Consider the following 20,762-nt stretch of genomic DNA (forward strand, 5'->3'; position numbering starts at 1 on the left):
TCACAGTCTGGCAGAACACGTGTGCCCAAGAGATGGTTACAACCACTCGCTTTCTGGAAGGAGAGGTATGGGTGGTGCCTGGGCAAGTAAGGCAGACCCAGTGGAGCCAAGTTAGGATGAGAAGATGTGGGGGAAAGAGGGCCAGGCAGAGGAAACAGCCCATGCCAAGACCCAGAGTTCAGTGACAGAGGAGCTAGAAGGAATTCTTCAGGGTGGCTGGAGTGTGGACACGGAGGGAGAGTTGAGGCAGATGAGGGAGGAAGGGGTACAGCTTCTGCTGACACTCCCGGCTGCACCGAGGAGTTTGGGCTGCATCTGCTGGCACTGGGAGCCACAGAAGGGTTTTGAGCAGGGAAACGACTTACTGTGTTTTTACCGGGGCGGGGGGGATCCTTATGGCAGCAGAGAGGGGTGTGAGTTCTGAGCCAGTCCTTTCCCAAGGAGAGAGACCCTTCCCTCAGGTTGAGGCCAGTCCTAGTCCCAGAAGCCCCCCACCCCCCGATGCCCAGGACCCCTCTCCTGACTGCCCCCATCTCTCCGCAGGGATGTTTCATCTTCTCGCTCGTCAAGTACGTACCCCTGACCTACAACAAAACATACGTGTACCCCAACTGGGCCATTGGGCTGGGCTGGAGCCTGGCCCTTTCCTCCATGCTCTGCGTTCCCTTGGTCATCGTCATCCGCCTCTGCCAGACTGAGGGGCCGTTCCTTGTGGTAAGTGCTTGGGCCCAGGGCCAGGGGAGGTGGGAGGCGCGAGGCCAAAGGTGATTGTTGTCAGTTTGCTGCGTGATCTCAGGCAAGTCACCTGCCCTCTCTGAGCCATAGTTCCCTCACCCATCCAGTGGTTCAGCTTATGGGCAGCAGAGTGCATTGTGGGAAGACGGGAAGCAAGTAGAGTTCACATGGGAGAAGGCTTTATGGAGACATTGGAAGCCGGGCTGTGGGGTGAGGAGGAACTTGCCAGATGGAGAATGTGAGAGGGAAGGTGTTCCTGGTGTTGGCAGAGTTGGGGTGGGCAGTGAGGCTGGAGAGGTGACTGTAGCTTTGGATGCCAAGCTAAGAGCTGGGGCTTTATCCTGGGACCAGTGGGGCCATGTTCCTGAAGCGGTGGGACAAAGCCAGGAGCCTAGGGAGGAAGCCTGAGCCCCACCCAGATGCCTTCTTTTATTGAGGAGCCAAATTTAGGATCATCCCAGCCCATGCTGGGGTCTTCTCCGGATCTGTGGCGGCAGCCAGACCTCTGCCTCTGTGCCTGCTGGGGCCTCCCCTGGCCCCACCTACCTTCAGCCTCCTCTCAGAAATTCCTCCAACAGCCCTGGAGATCCCAGGCCCTGGCAAAGGCCCTACTCTTTCCAAGAAATTCTTTTCTCAGAATCTCCCTTAACCTTTTGAGCTTGGGCTGGCTCCAAGAGTGCACTGTTTTGTTCTGGGCTGTTTTTATTGTTATTCTCTTTTAAAAATCTGGAGCCAGGATGTCCTGGGGCCCTGGCTCCCTGCTGGGCTGGGTCCTGTTTCCTCCTGGGCAGGGGAATGGCCTGGAGGTGGTGCTGGTGGCAGGGGAGGGAGGGGAGACTGAGGAAGCTGGCAGGGCAGGAGGAAATCCTTGAAACTGGGGGGGCCCCTGGGGTTATCCTGGAGCTTTTGACCCATTCTATTTTTTCAGAGGACAGAGGGCAGCACCCCAACCAGTCTTTAGCCAGAACGCTAAATGGCCCTATGAGCTGTTAACAGACTGAAATACTGGGCCTGGGGACAGGCAGGGAACAGTGACTGTCCCGAGCCCTCCAGGTGACCCCACAATACTCCAGGCCAACCCAACCAGAGTTTCCAGAATGTCCTTACTGTCCAGAAGCCAAAGGGTTCATTAGGGCACAGCAAGGGGTCTCTAAAGGTTCTGATTGGTCTAGGGGTCTCTGCTCTGATTGGTGAGTGCCCAAAGCAATTACATACCATTGGTTCAGGGGGACACCCAACAGGTCACTAACTTGGTGTCCTTCAAAGCCTCATTTTAAAATATTGGTCCAGCCCACATTTAGAAGTTTGGGTGGAGTGGGGTTGGCATGGGGGAAAGAGGTGGGGGAGTGGGTGAGGGCAGGCTTCACCCCACACTGGTACCCCGTCCTCCTGTGCCAGTCTGACTTCACCAAAGGCCCCTGTGAAGGCAGTTGAGCCACCATCTGTCTGTCTTTCTTTATGTGCCCCTCAGGGGCTCCCACCTGCACAAGTCATCAAGGTGTCCTCCCAGCCATGAGCTTCTCTCTGAGCCAGGTTCTGGCAAACCCAGATCTCTGTCCCAGGATGGTTCCAGCTCTGCCTGAGCCTCCTGTGTAGGCAGAGCCCCAAGTGGCTGCCTGGGGGTTTGACTCTCCTCCGCCCTCCCAGGCACAGCCCATTGTATGGATGTGGAGAGGCAAAGTGATGGAGGGAGAGCTGGCAGGTGGCTCAGGTGAGGGAAGTCATGGGGGTAGGGCTGGGAGCAAACTGGAGAAGGTGCTACAAGGAGGGGACCTGGGCCTGGAGTTGCCAGATCTTGCAGCTTTTCAAGAAAAGATGGAAAACTGGATTTAAAAACAAAAAAAATAGAGACAGGGTCTTGCTCCTTTGCCCAGGCTGGAGTGCAGTGGCTCAATCACAGCCTCAAATTCCTGGGCTCAAGCAATCTTCTTTCCTCAGCCTCCCGAGTAACTTGGACTACAGGCACGTACCACCATGCCTGGCTAATTTTTAATTTTTTTTTTTAAGAGTTAGGGTCTCACTGTGTTGCCCAGACTGCCTTTAAATCCTGACCTTGAGCGATCCTCCTGCTTCCCAAAGTGCTGGGATTACCGAAAACTGGGTTTTTAAATGAAATACTGTAGCTTTTAATAAGCAGCTTTTAAAAATTTGTAACATACCTAAGTTGAATATAAATGCCTAGAAAGAGGGCTTGTTGTTTTGTTTGTTTGTCTTTCAACTGCTGGCCTATTCAAGTCTCTGAGTTGACAGTTGGCAAGAGGTGGACTGGGGAGTGGGAGTCTGGTTGAGTCCCAGTTCTGACATGGATTTTCTGGGTATCCTTGGAGAGGGACACTCAACCAACTGTGAGGACAAAACTCACCCTGCTCAGGAGTGATCTAGAATTCCCATGCAGCTCCTATCTCTTGGAAGGGCAGCTCAAATGCGAGCAAGGTTCTCCAAGCCCTTAAGATGTAAACCCTGCTGGGAGGACTGGATGCCTTCAGGAAACTAGGGAAGACCTGTCTCTGCAAGAAGGCAGGAAGTGTAGCTTATGGGAGGCTGAGGAGTTTGGAGTTTCTCCTTGGGGAAGGTGGGAGCCATGGAGGCTGAAGACAGTTGTCCAACTCAGGGCATACAAATGAGAGGAACTCAACTGCTGCTTTGCAAGGCAGAGAAATCAGAGGGAGAGAATCACAGGGAGGCATATTTTAGTTCCATAGAAGAAAAAAAGCACATGAAGGTTGAGTCCCCCATCCCTGTAGGAACGTAAGCAGGGGTTTGGCCAAGGAAGGAAACCACCAACAGGAATTCCGCCTTGAGTCAGGGCCTAGTGGCACCTTAGGAGCGCCTTAGTTCAATTCCATTATTTCCAAAAAGGACAAAAACAGGAGATCAGAGAGGGTGTGAGTTTACCAAAAACCAAACAGCACATGAGCCAATTCAGGAGGAGGCAGATGGCCCTGGCGAAGGGGAGACCAGGCCGCCTGACGTTTCCCCCCTCACTCCTGTCATCCTTCTCCAGAGAGTCAAGTACCTGCTGACCCCAAGGGAACCCAACCGCTGGGCTGTGGAGCGCGAGGGAGCCACACCTTACAACTCTCGCACCGTCATGAACGGCGCTCTCGTGAAACCGACCCACATCATTGTGGAGACCATGATGTGAGCTCTCTCGGGTCGACGGGGCCGGCGGCTTTCCTGCTGTTTACTAACATTAGATTCTCATAGGACCAGGTTTACAGAGCTTTATATTTGCACTAGGATTTTTTTTTTTTTGTAATTGTCACAGAAAATGTAATTGTGGGTATGTGTGCGTGCGTGTGTGTGTGTGTGTGTATCGTGTGTGTGTGTTTTGTTTTGATTTGGGGGATATTTTGTACAAAAAGAAAACCCACGGGAAGATGTCCGTGGAGAGGCAGAGCTTTCATACTGAATTAGATGTATTTTATGGGAATTTGGTAAATTTTTCTTTGTATTTTTTTTTTTACATATAAGTATATATACACTTAGAGATTGTCATATACTTTTACCACTTGAATTGATCTTCTTGCCAGCAATAGATCTCATTTTCAAAAGCAATTCTTCGGTGCTGTGTAGCTGGCAGAAAGTTCTGTCCAGTAAACGCAGGATGGAATTTTCCTGGGACTCTACACCCATCTTAAGGTGGTATACCTTCCAAATCCTGGTTCAGATGGAAGAAATAGCAGGAGAGAGGACCCATTAGCTGGCAGACCCAGGGGGAAGAAAGGAGGGCTGTGAGGAGATACCTCATTAAACTTGGCTTAGTGAAGAAGAGAGATGCCAAAGGAATGAACCAACCCTTCACATAAAGGAGACTGGCTGAAGCTGAATGAGGAGGCCCTATAGCAGAAGTCTGATTCTAAGAGCAGTAGAAACTTGTACCAGAAGCAAAATCCCACTTTTAATTTTGAGATGGTGAGTGGATAGTCAGTAGACCGTCAGAACCACTGGCCAGAGAGGGAGCTGCTAGAGATCCAAGAAGGCTGGCAGGAGTGAGGCTCACAACTCAGCCTCGCAAGAGGTGGCAGAGGCACAGGAGGCCACAGTCCTTCCTGGGGCATTCCAGGCAGAGAAGGAGCAGAGGCTCTCCCGGCAGGAGCTGGGGTCTCAGGGCTCAGATGAGTCTGTTGCATTTGAATGGGGTCATAGCAGGTTCTGGTCATTCCCCAAGCAACATCTCAGCATCTCTTAAAGTTGCCTGCAGGAATGAAGCATGACATACCTGTTGAGGGACTAGGGGAGTGGTGGGGAGGTGAGTGGACCAAAGGATATAGGCCCCAGGCATGCAGATGGGCCCGGTGTCGGGGAGGGGTGCTTTCTTTCCTCATCTCCCCACTCCCCACTCTCAGCCTGGGAGACTCCTGCCAAGCCCTCATTAAAGATGCCACCCTGGGCTGCCCTGGCACCTAGCAAGGCACACCAAGAACAGCTTTTGAGTCTGTATCCTCCACTGGGGGAAGTGCTCCCAGTTCAGAACAAGGGCAGCCCGTGGTGCTGACCTAGGATATAACAAAGCTCTTCACTTCAAAACCCCTGCAATAGCTGGGTTTACAGACATTTACCACCTGCGGACCCAAAAGAGAAGGCCTAGGAGAGTTTTCTAGAAGGTTGGGATTGTCAGGGTCCTGGCCCCTCAGAACTGGCTTGATCAAGGGCCTTATGTGGAGCAGAGGTTGTCTCTGAACCAGGAGAGAAGGTACTATACCTTTCAAATCCCCAGGGCAGACACACCCCCACCCAGCCCCTATTTGGACCTAAACTGTGCCATTTGAACAGTCACTTCCAAGCTCAGTCTAAATGAAACCGAAACGTGACCACGCACAAAGGCAGTCACTGCCTCGAGGGGTGCAGACCGCAGAATTTTCACAGCAGGGGCTCTTGGAACCCTGGAAACCCCCTTCTTAAATTTGGGAGGAGGAGTATGCCTTTGGTGTCCCCCTCCCAAGGGGCAATTCTGAACCCCATCTTTGGCAGGCATACATATTTCACTGTTTCCAAAGCTATCTACTCTGCCAAACAACACCCAGTCCTATTCCAAACTCTCAACGATTCTATCTTGTTCCTGTTTTTCTATGTATTTATGGTTGCCGTTTGTGTCTGATTTGATTTTACTGTTTTTTCCCTGATTTTATGGAGTAGCATTGTGACCTGTTTTCCTTTGTCTTATATAACTTTAGTAAACTAACCACTGTCAATGATTGAGGGCAGGTGGCACGTGGGGAAGAGGGGACTTGGCACGCAGTGGCTACCTGGGCATTTGTGGTCATTTCAGTTTCCATCTCCCCAGCGGGGGCTCCCTGGGTGAAAGGCCACAGTATTTTGGGTTGGTAGGCAAATTGCAACATTCTGGACATGGCCTGAGGAAGGCCTCTTCTTATAAGATTCTCAGACCAAATTCTAGACCAAAGACACAGGCAGACCAAGTCCCCAGGCCCCGCCTGGAAGGAAGTCGTTCCTCAACTCTCCCCAAGGCACCTGTCTCCAATCAGAGCCCTCTCGCCCAGCCAGCCCTGGCTCTGTGTGCAGAGCATAGCTCTGCGAGTACCTGTGTAATAATGCTCAACCTTCATGTCTCCGTATAAACGAAACTTTCCATGAGAGCTCATGACTCTGGTCCACCTGTCTATAGAGAATGGGCAAAGTCCTTCACCTGCTTTCTGCTTGGGATGGGTCAGAAATGCTGATGCCCGCACATAGCCCAGCCAGCCAGATCTGGAAAGGAAGCGAGGGGGTTGTTTAAATCAATTTTTTAAGATGAAGAAGTGGGAGACACTGCGTTGAGATGGGCCATGCTAGGGCCACAGAGATTTCCTGACGGTCAGGGAGAGAAGGGCCTCCAGGGTCCCCTAACCCAACGCCCTTGTTGTAAATGAGGTAACTGAGGCTCAGGGAGGCACTGTGAGCCAGGAATGGATTTTCTTGAAACAGCTCTAGCTGCAGGTTCTCCGAGGTAGGTGCAGGGAATGGTGAGTGTCTAACCAGGGCTACATCCAGCAACATCCTCAAGGTCTTCCTGACAACCAAAGACAAGCCTTTATGGAAAAGGAAATGCGCTCCCCTCCATGTTCAGGGATGAGGGGAGCAGCAGCAGCCACACTCCCACCATCCTCACAGAATTCCTGGACCCATGCGGTGGCTCCGTGAGCTGGGTGACTCCAGCCTCACCTGCACACCCCAGCCCTGCACGGGGCCCTCCTTCCTCCCAGCAGCCCTTGGTGAGCTAGGAATTGAGATCCCTGTTTGTGAAAGAGGGAACTGAGGTGCAGAGAAGCCAGAGGTGTGCCAGATCCTTAGGCAGGATTTAGATGAAGTCGCCCTGGCTCCAGACTGACCCCGAGGCTCTGCGGGGAGTTTCCAGGCAGCAGGAAGTGGCCTTGGATGCTCTCCTTCCAGGACAGCATAACCCCTGGGCCATGTGCAGCTCCTTCACTGCCCCCTGGATCCCCAGCATACCCCCAAAGACAGTGGGGAAACACAAGGGGAGAGCACAGCATGGCCCCTCCAGCCCACTTCAGGGCACTCTTGTATCACCCGGGTACCGCCACACTGGTCCCCCACCCAGCCAGCATCTCCCAGCACAGCCCCTCTCCCTGGGGAAATGCTCTGGGTAGCCAGTCTAAAGGCAGAGGCACCTAACTGCTCCCCGCAGCCCACCCCACCCAAGATTCAGACACAAGCCAGGAAAGGACCCAAGAGAAAATCCTTCAAGGTGGCCTGAGGTCCCATCCCTCCCTCAGACCCATGTGGTCCCAGGCCAGGCTGCCTGGGACACGGTAAATACCACTGTGTGCAAAAATCGAAGTACAAAACCACAAGACTAAACAAAACAAACCCAGAGAGCCAAACTTGTAGAGGTGGGCAGTCCAGAAAGCAGGGGGCAGCCCTCCCCCTTTCCTTCTCTCCCTGATCCTCAGAATATATATTGTTGTAATAGGAAGCATTTTTGCATTGTTCTCTTGTGGGTGTCACTACAGACATGTTCTGGCGTGTTCTCCGAGGGATGGAGCATCCTGTTATATATTTGACTTCAAATTGAGATGTTGGCTTCATTTTTTTTTTTTACCCAATTAATCTCCCAATCCCTAGCAACTGTGACTCTGTATTTAGCACAAGAGAAAGCTGAGAATGTGGGTCTTGCCTCCTTCCAGAAATATGTCTGGCTCATCAGGACATTTTTTTAAAACTTCAAAATATTTTTAAGATATTTTAAACTTTTATAAAAAAAAAATCAACCAACAAGAGACTTTTCTGAGGAGGAACATTTGTATTTGAACAAGATCCTTGGTGTGTAGTTCAGTCTTGCAGTATACAAGCTTTTGTGTATAAATGTTTTATGATATGATTCCCTGTATTTTGCAGGGGTTTTTTTCTCTTTTGCTTTTTAGATAAATATGTATATCAATATTTTAAATTCATCTTTGCTTTTTTTAGAGGAGTTTGTAATCACCTTATAACATGAAAATAAACATTTCCTTTTTAACATCCAACATGTGTGGGTTGTGTTCTGGTGAGGTATTTCCCCCTCAACGTTTGCCAAACGCTTTACATTTTATAAAGGGCTTCCCGTCCAATCCCAGGACGCTCCTCAAAGGTAGGTATTTTCCCAGGTTAGAGGTTCCCACATGGAGGCTCACAGAGGAAGCAGCTTGCTCACTCAGGGGTACACAGCAAGTCCATGAAAGAACCTGGATTCGCACCCGGGCCCATGAGCTCTTGGCTCTACTGGCTCTACTGATTCTACCTGCTACATGCCCAGCCCTGTACAGCTGGGAGATCTGGCAGCAGTCACCTGAGCCTCAGTTTCCCCATCTGGAATAAACCATTGTCCCCATCAAGGCCACCAGGATGATTGGAGGTGATGCTCTTGGCCTTAGGTGCTCACCTGCTGCGGCTTTCAGTCCCTCCTCTTTAGCCTTGGGCTGACCTGCCAGAAGGGCAGAAAGCGGGTGGCGGAGTGGGGGAAAGGGTAGAGGGGGAGCAAACCTGATTGCCCTTCTCCCACTCCCCCACCGTCAGGTGCAGGCGCTCATTAATACCCAGTTAGGGGCTCTCTGGGGTCACAACAGGTCCATGTTTGGGGCAGCCTTCCTGCCAACAGCGCCCCCCACCCTTTGGGATGGACAAACTCGGGAGTCAGTTGAGCCCTTTGCCCAACTAACCAGACAAAATTCTCAGTAACTCATTTATAGACAATGTTAGAATAGAAGACCACCCTACCCCCATTTTCTGGCTCTTTCTGACAGCCTATGCCTACCTGCCTGCCTCTCTCTATGTGTACTGGGCCATGTGGCTTGTGTTCAAGCCCTGGTTCCATCCCTTACTACCTGTGTGGACTTGGGCAAATTACGTAACCTCTCTGTGCCTGTTTCCTCATCTGTAATGATGGGACAGGAATAGAGCCCACCTCCAAAGGCTATTGGGAGGATCCAGCAAGCTCTTGCAAAGCGCTTAGAGCAAGGCCTGCTGCCTCCCTTGGCCTTCCCCCTGCCTACACCACTCCCAAGACAGAGTACTCGCTTCCTGGAAAGAAGCTCTTCCTCTGCTCACAGAACTGTGGCCTCCCCAGTGGGGCCTGGCCCTGGCCTCTGGGTCCCAGACCCTGTAGCTCACCTGCCCTAGACACTCTCTGGACACTCCAGGGCAGCAGCCAGACCTGAGGCTGCCCTCCTGCCACTACCTTCCCAACCTGGGCTAAAGAGACTCCATATGCAGGCACCACTGCCTGCCTCTGGCTTTCTGCTGCGCAGAGAATCAAATTTGCTCCCCCTACCCAAGCCTTCACGACTGATTCCTGCTACCTCCAACCTAGTCTCCAGCCCCATTCCCCTCCCAGGCCTTCTTTCTCTTCCTTGAGACCGTCAAACTCGTTCCTATCTCAGGGCCTTTGCACTAGCTGTGCCCGCTGCCTGAGACACTCTTCCTCCAGGTCTCCATGGAGGCTGGCTCCTGTCTTCAGGTCTCATTGCAAATGTCGCCTCTTGAGAGAAACCCCTCCTAATATTGTGAGCTAAAGCCCCTCACCCTGGTCCCTCTATCCCGTTACTCCCTTGTTTTCTTTGTTGCACTTGATGCCTTTTGAAATAATTATTTATTTGCTTACTTGTTGATTGTCTGCCTGCCACCAGAATGTGCAGACATGACCTAAATCTGTCTGATTCATGTTGCCCAGGGGCTGGATGATGGAAGCAAATGGCAAACTTTTTGAATTAATGAATCATCAAAAGCAGGTGAGATGTCACCAGACCCATACAGAAGCTGACTCTTGCCAATCCATGATTTTTTTAAAAAGCAAACTTCTACTCTAGGTGGATTTAAATAATTTTATTTTAAAAAATCATCCCCATGGCACCTACCCCCAAGCCACTGCAACCCCTGGTGGGACAAAGACTTAGACGAGGGCCCCAAACAGACCATAAGCGGCCTTTGCAATACAGCCCCTTGTGCTTCCCGAGAGCCCTAAGAAAACCCGATGTAGAAAAATACTTTACAAGGAATGTGTTCTAATCTCAGCCAGAGAAAAATACAGCTTTGGGGGAGAGGGCAGGTGGAAGGGGACATGTCACAGGGGCTGTTCCCAAAATGCATAGGCAGGCAGGGCGCTCACTGGGGAAAGGTGTCAGGAAATTTCAAGTCGGGGATGAACCATCCCCATGAGAAGCCAGAAGAAATATTGCATATGAGGAGGCCGGCATGGCTGGGAGGCCCACCGCGGGCCTGATTGCATACTTTTGGGAGAATGGCAGAGGCCTCAGCCCGAGGAGGGAGGGGGGTATTAGTTAGAGTCGGGTGCATCTTCCCTCGCCTGGAGTCCTGGAGTCAATGCAGTTTTCCCAAGCCGAGAGGCCCTGAGAGTGTGTCCTGTCCAGCCCTGTTGCTTAGCAGAGGTCCAGAGAGGCTGAGCCACCTGTCCAAGGTCACACAGCTATGGCTGCTTGCATCCAGAAGCCACACCTCTGCTGTGCTGTCCCTCACCCTCAAAAGTGAGGGCTCTTGGCTTTCACTTGGTGCCCTGTGACAGGTAGACAGTGCCCTTTCACTCTGGGCTGAGTACACGGGAATCCAAGATAGCAGAGGCGCTGAGCACCCCAGGCACAAGCATGCAGGGCCCTCAGGGAGGGCACCAAGGGGCAGAGCCCAGCGAAGTGGAGGGGAGGGGTAAGGGAGGCAGGCCTCCAGGAGACAGCGTGGGCAGGTCCCCAAGGGGGCCTTGGTGGGTCGGCAGAGATGGTTCCGGCCCTGACCAGGAGGCCTGTGTCTGCTCAGACTGTCCACCCGTGATCGTCCAGAGGGGCTGGGGGTCCAACCCAGACAGGGTCACACAGCAAACAGGTAACAGACCCAGGGTGAAAAGAACAGACCTCTTGACTCCTCATCTGTTCCCTCAAATGGAAGAGCACTTTTCTGGCCTCCAGGGACCCCAGGTTGGAGACAGATGGAGGTGGGAGTGGGTGCCCCGTTTTCCTGAGACCCCTGTGAGAACTGGGCCAGGCAAAGCACATCCCCAGCCCTGGCTACACCTGCCCGCCCACTCCATCCCAGGCACCACTCACTAGACCACCAGGGGAGGCCCACACCCTTCTCAAAATGAAGAGGGTCTCTGATTTGTGGACACTGAGGACAATGATTTTAAGGGATGCTGGTGCTTCCAGATTTCAAGTGGGAATAGACTTCTTTGAATAAGCACTTTGGACACCCTCCACTGGGCAAGAGTGTCCCATCTTTTTCTCTGGCCCATTTCTCTCCCATCTCCCTCCCTCTTTCTCCTCTTCCTCCACTGATCTGGCTGTAAAGAGGAGCGCTACCGCCTCACAGGTCCTGCGTCCATCGCTTTTCAATTTTCACTGGATGGCAGGTGAATGGAAGCTCCAGGGTCTTTTGCCCCAAAATGACCCCTCCCACATGGAGGGGCTTGGGCTGAGCGGACGTGCAGATGGGTCAGTGGCCACACGGCCTACAGAAGAAGCAGGAGGGCTGAGAGCCCAAGGCCCATAGAGCCTGCCCAATGGGCCCAGAACCACAGTCTCAAGTCCCAGAAGCTTCAGACTGAGATGCTGAAATCAAAGAATCACCCACTTTCAGAATCAAAGGGCCAGCACTTCCTGGGATCCCAGACGCCCCAACTTAAGAGTCTCATAAGTGGGGACCAGATTCTGGGAATCTCAGAATCTCAGGACTAGCAAGCCCCAAACCCCTATTCTGGAGAAGCGAAGGAGCTGGGCTCCCATCCGAAGCAGCATCCTTCCTGGTGGCCGAGTCTCTAGATGAAGTGGCTCCCCATCAGGAAGCCAACCCCCAAGCGCGTGTGCACGCATCATGGGAATGCCTCATACCCCAATGCATGACTGCGCTGGGGTATCCAGCTCCTGCCTGCTCACCTCCTGTGACCGAGAACTCACTCCTCCTTGCAGCTCATTCCAGCTCCATGGCTTTGCTGGGAGGAAGTGCTCCCTACATCTTCGACCTCTCCAAGGAGGCCCCACAGAGACCTGGGACAGCCCCCAGGCCTCTCTCCTCTCGGCTGAGCAGCCTGTGCCAACCCTTCTTAAGGGAGGCTCCTCTGGGCATCTTGGAGACCCAACTTGGCGAGAGACCCCAGCTGTCACTCCAACTAGGGCAGGACCTCCCTGCCTGGCACCCCAGTCACCACAGACCTGGGGAACAGAGACCAAGCATCATCCCAGGCTCAGAGTCTGCCAGACCAACAGATGAATGAGTGGGTGGCCGCTTCTCCAGCCCAGCTACGTGTCTGGGAGCCAGGATCTGCCTGGGTGGCCCCTTAGGAGTTCGGCCCACATGCTGACTTCAGAGCATCCGGGGACTGCTGGGGCCTGGCGATCGGGGGGCCCGGCTGCTGTGTGCCGTGTGCGGCTTGCGGCTGATGATCAGCTCCAAGACATCACCCGCCTCGGCCAGGAGTGGCACCGCCAGGCAGCAGTCGAAGTCCCGTGTACGGACGTGGTTGACCTGCATGGGGCACAAGCAAGGGAACAGAACCGAGATGTCAGCCCTGCTGCGCTGAAGGGAGCAAGAGGCATGTGATGTCCTAAAGATGGGTCCTGCCCCAGCCTTGACGCAAGCCCTGACATCACCAGCACCACACACAGAGGAACATTCTTCCTCTAACTCTCTCTCAGTCCTTCTGTTAGGTTTCATCAAAGAGAAAGTTCTAGGAAGGGGCAGGTATACCTTTCATACCCCTCTAACTCTTGCTTTTCTCCCTTTCTCACATGAAAGAGCAGACCACACACTCAGAGAGCCTCCTGCCTAGAACTGTGTGATGTGACATTGTCTTCTTTCTATTTTATTTGCATTTTACACCCACTTTCTATTTCAAAGCAAGGGGTGCAAGATTTTCACTCCTAATGGAGACAAAAAGTTTCCTTTCAAAGTCAAATGTAAATTGAAAAAGTGCCATCAATTTAGAGAAAACATGAATTGAGTAAATTTCATATAAATATGGCAAAAAACACACTGAGGGAGCAAAAATAGCCAGGGCATGAGAAGGGGCGGCACGGAGTGCCCAGTACACGATGTCCCACGCTTCCCAGGCTCCCTCACAGTTAGTTAGGAAGGTCACATGAGGGGTTTGGTCCATCGGCTGTGAAGCAAGGTGATGAGTGTTGCTTCTGGGTGAAGGCGGAAAAAATCCACGTGTGACTTTCCAGTCTGTCTCCTCTGCTGTGGAGTCTGAGGAGGCCACGTGTCTCAGAGGGTCAATTCCAAGATGGGCGGATGCTCCATCAGCCCGGGACAAGAAGGCCCCCACCAGCCCACAATGGGCATGGGGTGTAAGAAGAAAGGTCTGTGTGTGCTCAGCCTCTGAGGCTGAGGGTGCTGGGGCCCGCAATGCAACTTTGGCTAACCTGACTCAGACTTGCATTGTCCTGCCCTCTTCACAGGCGATAGATGCAGGCTCTTTCCCCACCCTCAGGCTAGGAAACAATGCCACCCCCACTATGGAGCCCCTGCCCCAGCATTACCTGCAGGACCCTGTCGAAGGGCTGGAGGCCTCCACGGTGGGCTGGCCCATCAGGGCGCACAGTGTGGACATAGACACCTTTTTCCAGGAGGCCATCTGAGACGCTGAAACCAAAGTCATGCCGCATGGGGTCCTTGTGCAGGGTCACCTGGAAGCAGAAGGAGGAGGAGGTTCCTGGAACTCTGACCTTTGCCCCCAGCCTCTCACAGTAGCCCAGGTCCTTTGGTCTGGCATTCAGCGCCTCTGGCCAGCCACACCCCCCAGGCTGCAGCACCCCAGCCTCTTGCCCCTGGGCCTTCAGCCACCCCCGCCACCCCGCTCCCTGCCAACCTCCCTCAGCAGATGCTCCAGGCCACAACACTCAAGTACGACGGAGCCCTTAGGAGTGACTTCCTTTCAGCCCTTTCTCTGTCCTCTGGCTCTATCAGGGAGGAGGCCTGGCCAGGGCACTGTTACCTCCCCTGACCGTCACTCATTCCCATTTACCAAAGAGCTGCTCAGAGCTTCTGAGGGCCATTGGCTAGGGGTTGTCCTCCTCCATATCTTTTTTGTTGTTGTTGTTTTTGTTTTCGTTTTTGTTTTTGAGATGGAGTCTTGCTCTGTCACCCAGGCTGGAGTGCAACGGCGTGATCTCAGCTCACTGCAACCTCCGCCTACTGGGTTCAAGCAATTCTTCTGCCTCAGCCTCCCGAATAGCTGGGACTACAGACGTGTGCCACCATGCCCAGCTAATTTTTGTATTTTTAGTAGAGGCAGGGTTTCACCATGTTGGCCAGGATAGTTTTGATCTCTTGACCTCGTGATCCACCCACCTCAGCCTCCCAAAGTGCTGGGATTACAGGCATGAGCCACCGCGACCAGCTCGTATCTTTTTATATAATGACCTATAGATGGCACAAGACACTGGCTTCTCATTGAAGGTAGGGATGTAAAGGTGTGAGATACATAGACGTCACACACACACGTAGAAGGGTTTATATGTTATATGTAAATATGTGTGTATGAGATATAAAATAACTTAAGGCCAGGCACAGTGGCTCACACATGTAATCTCAGCACTTTGAGAGGCTGAGGTGGGCAGATCATTTGAACCCAGGAGTTTGAGACCAGCCTGGGCAACCTGTTGAAACCCTGTCTCTAAAAAAATACAAAAATTAGCCAGGTGTAGTGGTGCATGCCTGTGGTCCCAGCTTCTTGTGGGGCTGAGGTGGGAGAATCGCTTGAACCCAGGAGGTCAGGGCCGCAGTGAGCCATGATCGAGCAACTGCACTCCAGCCTGGGCAGCAGAACGAGACCCTGTCTCAAAAAAATAAATACATAGATAAAATAACTTAAGTGGGGGGAAAAAAAGCACATCTACTTAAAGAAAAATAATAGCCCAGTGTGAATCACAGGTGTGCATGTGTGTGAGTGTGCATGTCACCCAAATGATGAGCATTTTGGAAAACTCAACCCAGTTTTGTGGTGGAGGAGACTAAAGCCCTGAGAGGGGCAGGGCCCCTCTGGAGTCCCACGACAGTGCTCATGGCACCAGAACACAGGTCCAGGTCTCCTGTGCTCACCCCCTGTGCCTACCTTGTGCATCTCCAAGGGTGTAGGCAGCAACAGCTCCTCCATTTCTGCAGGAGAGGCTCGTACCTCCCGGCCCCTCTGCCAAGGCCGGTGGCCAGGCCTGCCCTCGAGGGCCACCCTCTGCACGGTGCCCGTCATGATGGATGCCTGCAAGGAACACGGCCTTTCTTTCAGATGCTTGTTGGCTTGCCCCATCAGGCAGTCAGCATCCACTGACAACTACTATGTGCCAGCCACAAAAGGGACAATGGTGAACAGGACAGACATGGTCCCTGCCCATTGGGGCTGGGTCCAACAGCGGTGGAGTGGGAAGTCATGAACCAATCACACTAACAATGAGAACAATAATCACTGGCACGTAATCATTCGTGCCGACCCAGGGCTAAGTCAGTTCTTAGCACTTTACACCTATAACTCATTTTATTCTCTACAGTACAATGATGCAAGTAAATACCACTTTTTTCCACTTTACAGATGAGGAAACTGTTTGTCTCCTTAGAGATATAAAAAAGATTTGAACCCAGAGTCTAGTTCCAAAGTCAAGACTCTTTTTTTTTTTTTTTTTGAGACAAAGTTTTGCTCTTGTTGCCCAGGCTGGAATGCAATGGCACAATCTTGGCTTACCGCAACCTCCGCCTCACAGGTTCAAGTGATTCTCCTGCCTCATCCTCCTGAATAGCTGGAACTGCAGGCATGTGCCACCATGCCCAGCTAATTTTATATTTTCTTTTTTAGTACAGACGAGGTTTCTCCGTGTTGATCAGGCTGGTTTCGAACTCCTGACCTCACATGATCCACCCACCTCAGCTTCCCAAAGTGCTGGGATTACAGGCGTGAGCCATCATGCCCAGCCCCAAAGTCAGGACTCTTAACCACTCTACTACATTGCTAATCGCCAACATAAATAAGATAAAATTATGCACTGCAGTAAGTGTTACAGAGGTGAGGCACTCGGGAAGTGAGAGCCTGGGACAGGTGGCCCTCGTCCTGTGAGGGGTGGGGAAGCATCCAGAGCTGAAATTGAAAGGACAAGGACGAAGAGGCCCAGGGAAGAGTCCCTGGCAGAGGAAACAGCACGTGCAAAGCCCTGTGGTGGGGGGATCTGGAAGCAAACTCGGCGGCTGGTGGTGGCTGGGGGCCAGTCCTGCGGCGCCCTCTAGACCACAGTAAGAAATGTGAACTTCATCCCAGGAGCAGCAGGGAGCCCCTGAAGGACTGAAGCCAGGCAGAGAAGGTGACATAACCAATGTGTGGATCTAGAAGCATCTTCCGACTGCCACATGAAGACTGGGCTGCAGGAGCGGGAGTGGAGGCTGGGAGGAGATCTGTTAGGGGTCATGTAGTGGTCCAAAGAAAAGACAGTGGTGTTCTGGACAAGGATGGTGCCAGTGGGGAAGGAGAGAAGGAGTGGAGTTAGAACGGGCTCAGGAAGTGAGGGCTGAGCAGTTGGAAATGCCGAGCTCTAAGCTGCCAGTCAGGAGTATGTGGCCCTGAGGGAAACAGCTTCACACTCAGGCTGGGAAATCCAGAGATGGAGGTGGGGGTGCTGGAGCTGCTGGGAGGGGAGGATGGACTTCTTACTCTAACATCGTGCAATCTCACAGGCACACAATTGTCTCCCCAGCCTAGAAACATCTCTCCTTCTACCCATCACAGTATCTGAATTCCCACTATTAGTGCATAGTTCTATCTGACCATTTGGGGTGCGGGGGGTTGGTCTTTTAGGGATCCCCTAAGGGAAAGTAGATTATGATTAAAATGTTTTACGTTGGTTGTGGTGGTTTATGCTTGTAATCCCAGCACTTTGGGAGGCGGAGGCAGGAGGATTGTTTGAGTCTAGGAGTTCAAGACCAACCTGGGCAAACATAGCCAGACAACCTCTCTACAAAAAATACAATTATTAGCCAGGTGTGGTGATGCATGTCTGTGGTCCCAGCTACTAGGGAGGCTGAGGTGGGAGGATCAGCTGAGCCTGGGAGGTGAAGGTTGCAGTGAGCTGAGACCATGCCACTGCACTCCAGCCTGGGCAACAGAGCAAGATCCTATCACTAAAAAATAAAAACTGTTTTAGGGCCAAACTGTTGGGTTGGAGTGGGGGGGAAGATAGGAAACCGAGGGAGGATATTGAATGAGGAGGCAGAGAAGCACCTTTTTCACACCTTAGAAGTGATCTTCACCTGCCTGGGAGCCAGCATCCAAAAGGAAAATCCAAGACTCCTCATTTTGGGATAATAAGAGTTATTAAAACACAGAATCAGGGAGTCCAGGCATCACAGGGTCTTGGACCCCTAAAATTGTAGAATTCAAGGACTTCCAGTTAAAATGCAGACTGAGCTGATACAGGAAGTTCACACCTCCCTTCAAACACGTAGAGATGATAGATTTCAATTTGTTAAATAAACACTTTCAAAGCAAGAAAGAAAAATTCAGAGACAGGCATGAGCAGGAGTGGAACTGTCTGGCTTATGGAAGTTAGTGGCCCATGGAAGGTAACAACGAGACATACGCGTTTGGAGCTGGGGTACTGTTCAGGGAAAAAGACAGTGCTGTCTCAAAGCAGGAAACTGGGTACCATTCCAGAAAGCGAGTGCCATCTCATTGCTGGATAGAGACTGGAAAATGTCTGCCCACAGGGGTACAAGAAAGGAACCACCAGGACTTGAACAGGCGGGGAGGGGGAGGATCACTTGTGACAAACTAGAACCCTTAGCGTGACCTCCGCATGAAGGTGGGGCCGGAATCTGCCTTCCACAATAGTGCAGAAACACTGAGCTGAGGAATTACTGTCAAAACCAGTCTGGAGCTGGTGAAGTTCAAAGGCCACAGCCAAGACAAAGTGAGGAGCGATCTCACTGATGCATCGACAACGCAGAGCGCAGCAAGGCGGGTGCCTGGGAAGGGACCACAGCTGGAAGCAGTGCAGTGATGAGATGAAAAAGCCCACCTGCCCACAGACAAAACAAGTCGGCGAATCCATACTCAGGGAACTAAAAATAATAGTGAAGTCAAAAGAAACTTGAGAACCGGCATGGTGGCTCACACCTGTAATCCCAGAACTTTGGGAGGCCAAGGCGGGCGGATCGCCAGAGATCAGGAGTTCAAGACCAACCTGGGCAACATGGTGAAACCCTGTCTCTACCAAAAAAAAGAAAAAAAAAAATTAACCAAGCGTGGTGGTGCATGCCTGTAGTCCCCAGCTACTCGGGTGGCAGAGGCAGGAGAATTGCTTGAACCCAGGAGGTGGAGGTTGTAGTGAGCCAAGCGAGCCAAGCCAAGATCATGCCACTGACTGCACTCCAGCCTGAGCAACAAACAGAGTGAAACTCCATCTCGAAAAAAAGAAAAAAGAAAAAGAAACTTGAAATAAGTCTGTTTACAGGGGTGTCCAAACTATTGGTTTCCCTGGGCCATGTGGGATAATTGTCTTGGGCCACACATAAAATACACTAACGTTAACAATAGCTGATGAGAAAAAAAAATCGCAAACAAAAATCTCATAATGTTTTAAGAAAGTTTATGAATTTGTGTAAAATTCAAAGCTATCCTGGGCTACATGCGGCCCGTGGGCCACAGGTTGGATAAGCTTGGTTTAAGATGTGTAGAAAAATAAGAAAATAAAAAGCAAAAGCCTTTAAAAAAAGACTATGAAGATTAAAACAAAACAAAACAAAACAAAATTGTAGGAATAAAAGATGTAGAAGTTGAAACACAGTATCTAAGAAATGGGTTACACAGTAGAATAAATACAGCCAAGGAAAGAACTAGTGAATTGGAAGACAGGTTAAGGAAAGCAGCTAGTACACAGTGCAGAGAAAATATGAAGGAAAAGTTAAGAGACATGGAGGGTAGAATGCATGGAGGACAAGTGTCCAACATACCTTAACAGAAGGAGACAATAAGAAGGAGGCAATATTGTAAACACCATGACTAGGAATTTTCCAGCATAGAAGGCAAACACGAGTCCTCGGACTGAAAAAACAGACTGAGTCTGTAGTAAGACAAATAAACTCTTACTGAGACACATCAGAGCAAGAGAGCCAGCCATCACAGAGAAAGAAATCCTCAAATCTCCTGGAAAGAAAAGACACAGGACTTTCAAAGGAACAACAATGAACCTAACAGGAGCAACGATCATTGCCAGAAGACAACAGGATAATATCTTCAAAGCCCTGAGTAAATGTTTAATTTCATAGTCAACTAAACTATCATTTAAGAGCAGGGGTGAAATAAAGACATTTATAAACTTCTAAATTGATTAGAAAAAAATAAATAAAGACATTTTCAGAACACAGAGCCTAAAGCAGTTTACCACCTAAAGGCCCTCGGTGAAAGACTATCTTAAAGGATGAGCTCAGAAAAAAAGGGGTATGCAAGAAGCAAAGGTGATAACAGAAATTGGTCAAATATTCTGATAAAACCCCCACGTTCATGAAGTTTGAGCAATTTATAAGAAAGTTGGGATATGAGAGGAGGTAGTTTGGAGAGAAGTGAAAGAATTCTATAGTGCCTATCTTATTCAAGAGGAGGACAAAGGTATTGCTTACACTTGTTAGAAAAACCAAGTTCAGAAAATATATTGAAAATGTAAGGTAAGGCCATGGCCTTCCCTTCAGTGATCTATCCTAATAATTATTTAGCCATAAAAAGGGATGAAGTACTGACACATGCCACAACATGAAGCTAAGTGAAAAAAGCCAGACACAAAAAGTCAAATACACACTCCACTTTTATGAAATATCCAGAATAGGCTAATCCATAGAGACAGAGTAGATAGCAATTGCCAGGGGATGGGAAGTGGGAGGAATTGGAAGGTACAAGTTTTCATTTTGGGGTGTTAGAAGTGCTCTGGAATTAGATAGTGCTGATGATTGCACAACACTGTGAATATAACAAAAGCCACTAAACTGTACACTTTAAACTGGTTAAAATTATAAATTTTATATATGAATTTTATCTTGATAAACAGGAAGTTTACATTAGTATCATGTAAAAGGCACTGGACTAAAGAGAGACTTAAGAGACATAATAACCAAGCTCCAAGCATGGATTAGACATTGGTTTGGACAAAACAGGTGTAAAGGACAATTTGGGTCCAACTGAGGAAATCTGAATATGGTCTTGGTATTAGGAAAGATTAAAATATATCGAAATGGAAAAATGAAATAACTAGCTAAAAAAGCAGTCTACAAAACAGTACATACATCATGATTTCATTATCTTAAAAATACACATAAACTCATTAAAGCAGTAACAGTGGTGATCTATGGGTGGTGGGAATGTTGTGTCCTTAAGTTTTACTTTTACTTATTTTTTGATTTACTTATTTTTTATTACTTATTTTGATTCTACTTTGCTTATCCAATTTTGCACCATACACACATATCACTTAGGTAATAATAAAAGATTTCAATGTAAAAACTGAATGTTGAAAGTAAAACAAATGAATTAAAGATAATTGCTACAAGAATACAAATAA

At 50.3% G+C, this 20,762-nt stretch overlaps 2 protein-coding genes across 14 annotated transcripts in view, besides 2 other annotated features; one reads left to right on the forward strand and one right to left on the reverse strand.

Annotated features, from left to right (window-relative positions):
- SLC6A6 (solute carrier family 6 member 6) overlaps nt 1-8,222 on the forward strand; it is an 86,774-nt gene extending 78,552 nt beyond the window's left edge. For 6 of the 7 annotated variants that reach the window (NR_103507.3, NM_001134367.3, NM_003043.6 and 3 more), the window contains 2 exons: nt 544-714; nt 3,740-8,222. Coding sequence is in view for 5 of the 7 variants with exons in the window: in NM_001134367.3 (NP_001127839.2) it covers nt 544-714; nt 3,740-3,880 (312 nt within the window). In the remaining 2 variants the exon portion in view is untranslated. Of the gene's footprint in view, nt 1-543; nt 715-3,739 lie in introns of those variants that run through there. The other variant, XR_940495.4, reaches the window with a different exon arrangement.
- The window catches only part of GRIP2 (glutamate receptor interacting protein 2), a 113,911-nt gene continuing 101,128 nt past the window's right edge, over nt 7,980-20,762 (reverse strand). For all 7 annotated transcript variants that reach the window (XM_047449036.1, XM_011534142.4, XM_011534143.4 and 4 more), the window contains 3 exons: nt 15,290-15,433; nt 13,716-13,862; nt 7,980-12,699 (listed from right to left, as the gene is read on the reverse strand). In XM_047449036.1, coding sequence (XP_047304992.1) covers nt 12,538-12,699; nt 13,716-13,862; nt 15,290-15,433 — 453 coding nt within the window. In that variant the 3' untranslated portion in view covers nt 7,980-12,537. The remainder of the gene's footprint in view (nt 12,700-13,715; nt 13,863-15,289; nt 15,434-20,762) is intronic.
- Nucleotides 14,797-15,359: an enhancer, noted in NCBI's record as "H3K4me1 hESC enhancer chr3:14537432-14537994 (GRCh37/hg19 assembly coordinates)". NCBI's record gives its function as "activates a minimal SCP1, AML or CMV promoter by ChIP-STARR-seq in primed H9 embryonic stem cells {active_cell/tissue: H9 hESC(primed)}" and the evidence as "EXISTENCE:reporter gene assay evidence [ECO:0000049][PMID:30033119]".
- Nucleotides 16,468-16,968: an enhancer, noted in NCBI's record as "H3K4me1 hESC enhancer chr3:14539103-14539603 (GRCh37/hg19 assembly coordinates)". NCBI's record gives its function as "activates a minimal SCP1, AML or CMV promoter by ChIP-STARR-seq in primed H9 embryonic stem cells {active_cell/tissue: H9 hESC(primed)}" and the evidence as "EXISTENCE:reporter gene assay evidence [ECO:0000049][PMID:30033119]".

Source organism: Homo sapiens, chromosome 3 (genome assembly GCF_000001405.40).
Source record: "Homo sapiens chromosome 3, GRCh38.p14 Primary Assembly".
In the NCBI taxonomy this organism is placed as follows: Eukaryota; Metazoa; Chordata; class Mammalia; order Primates; family Hominidae; genus Homo; species Homo sapiens.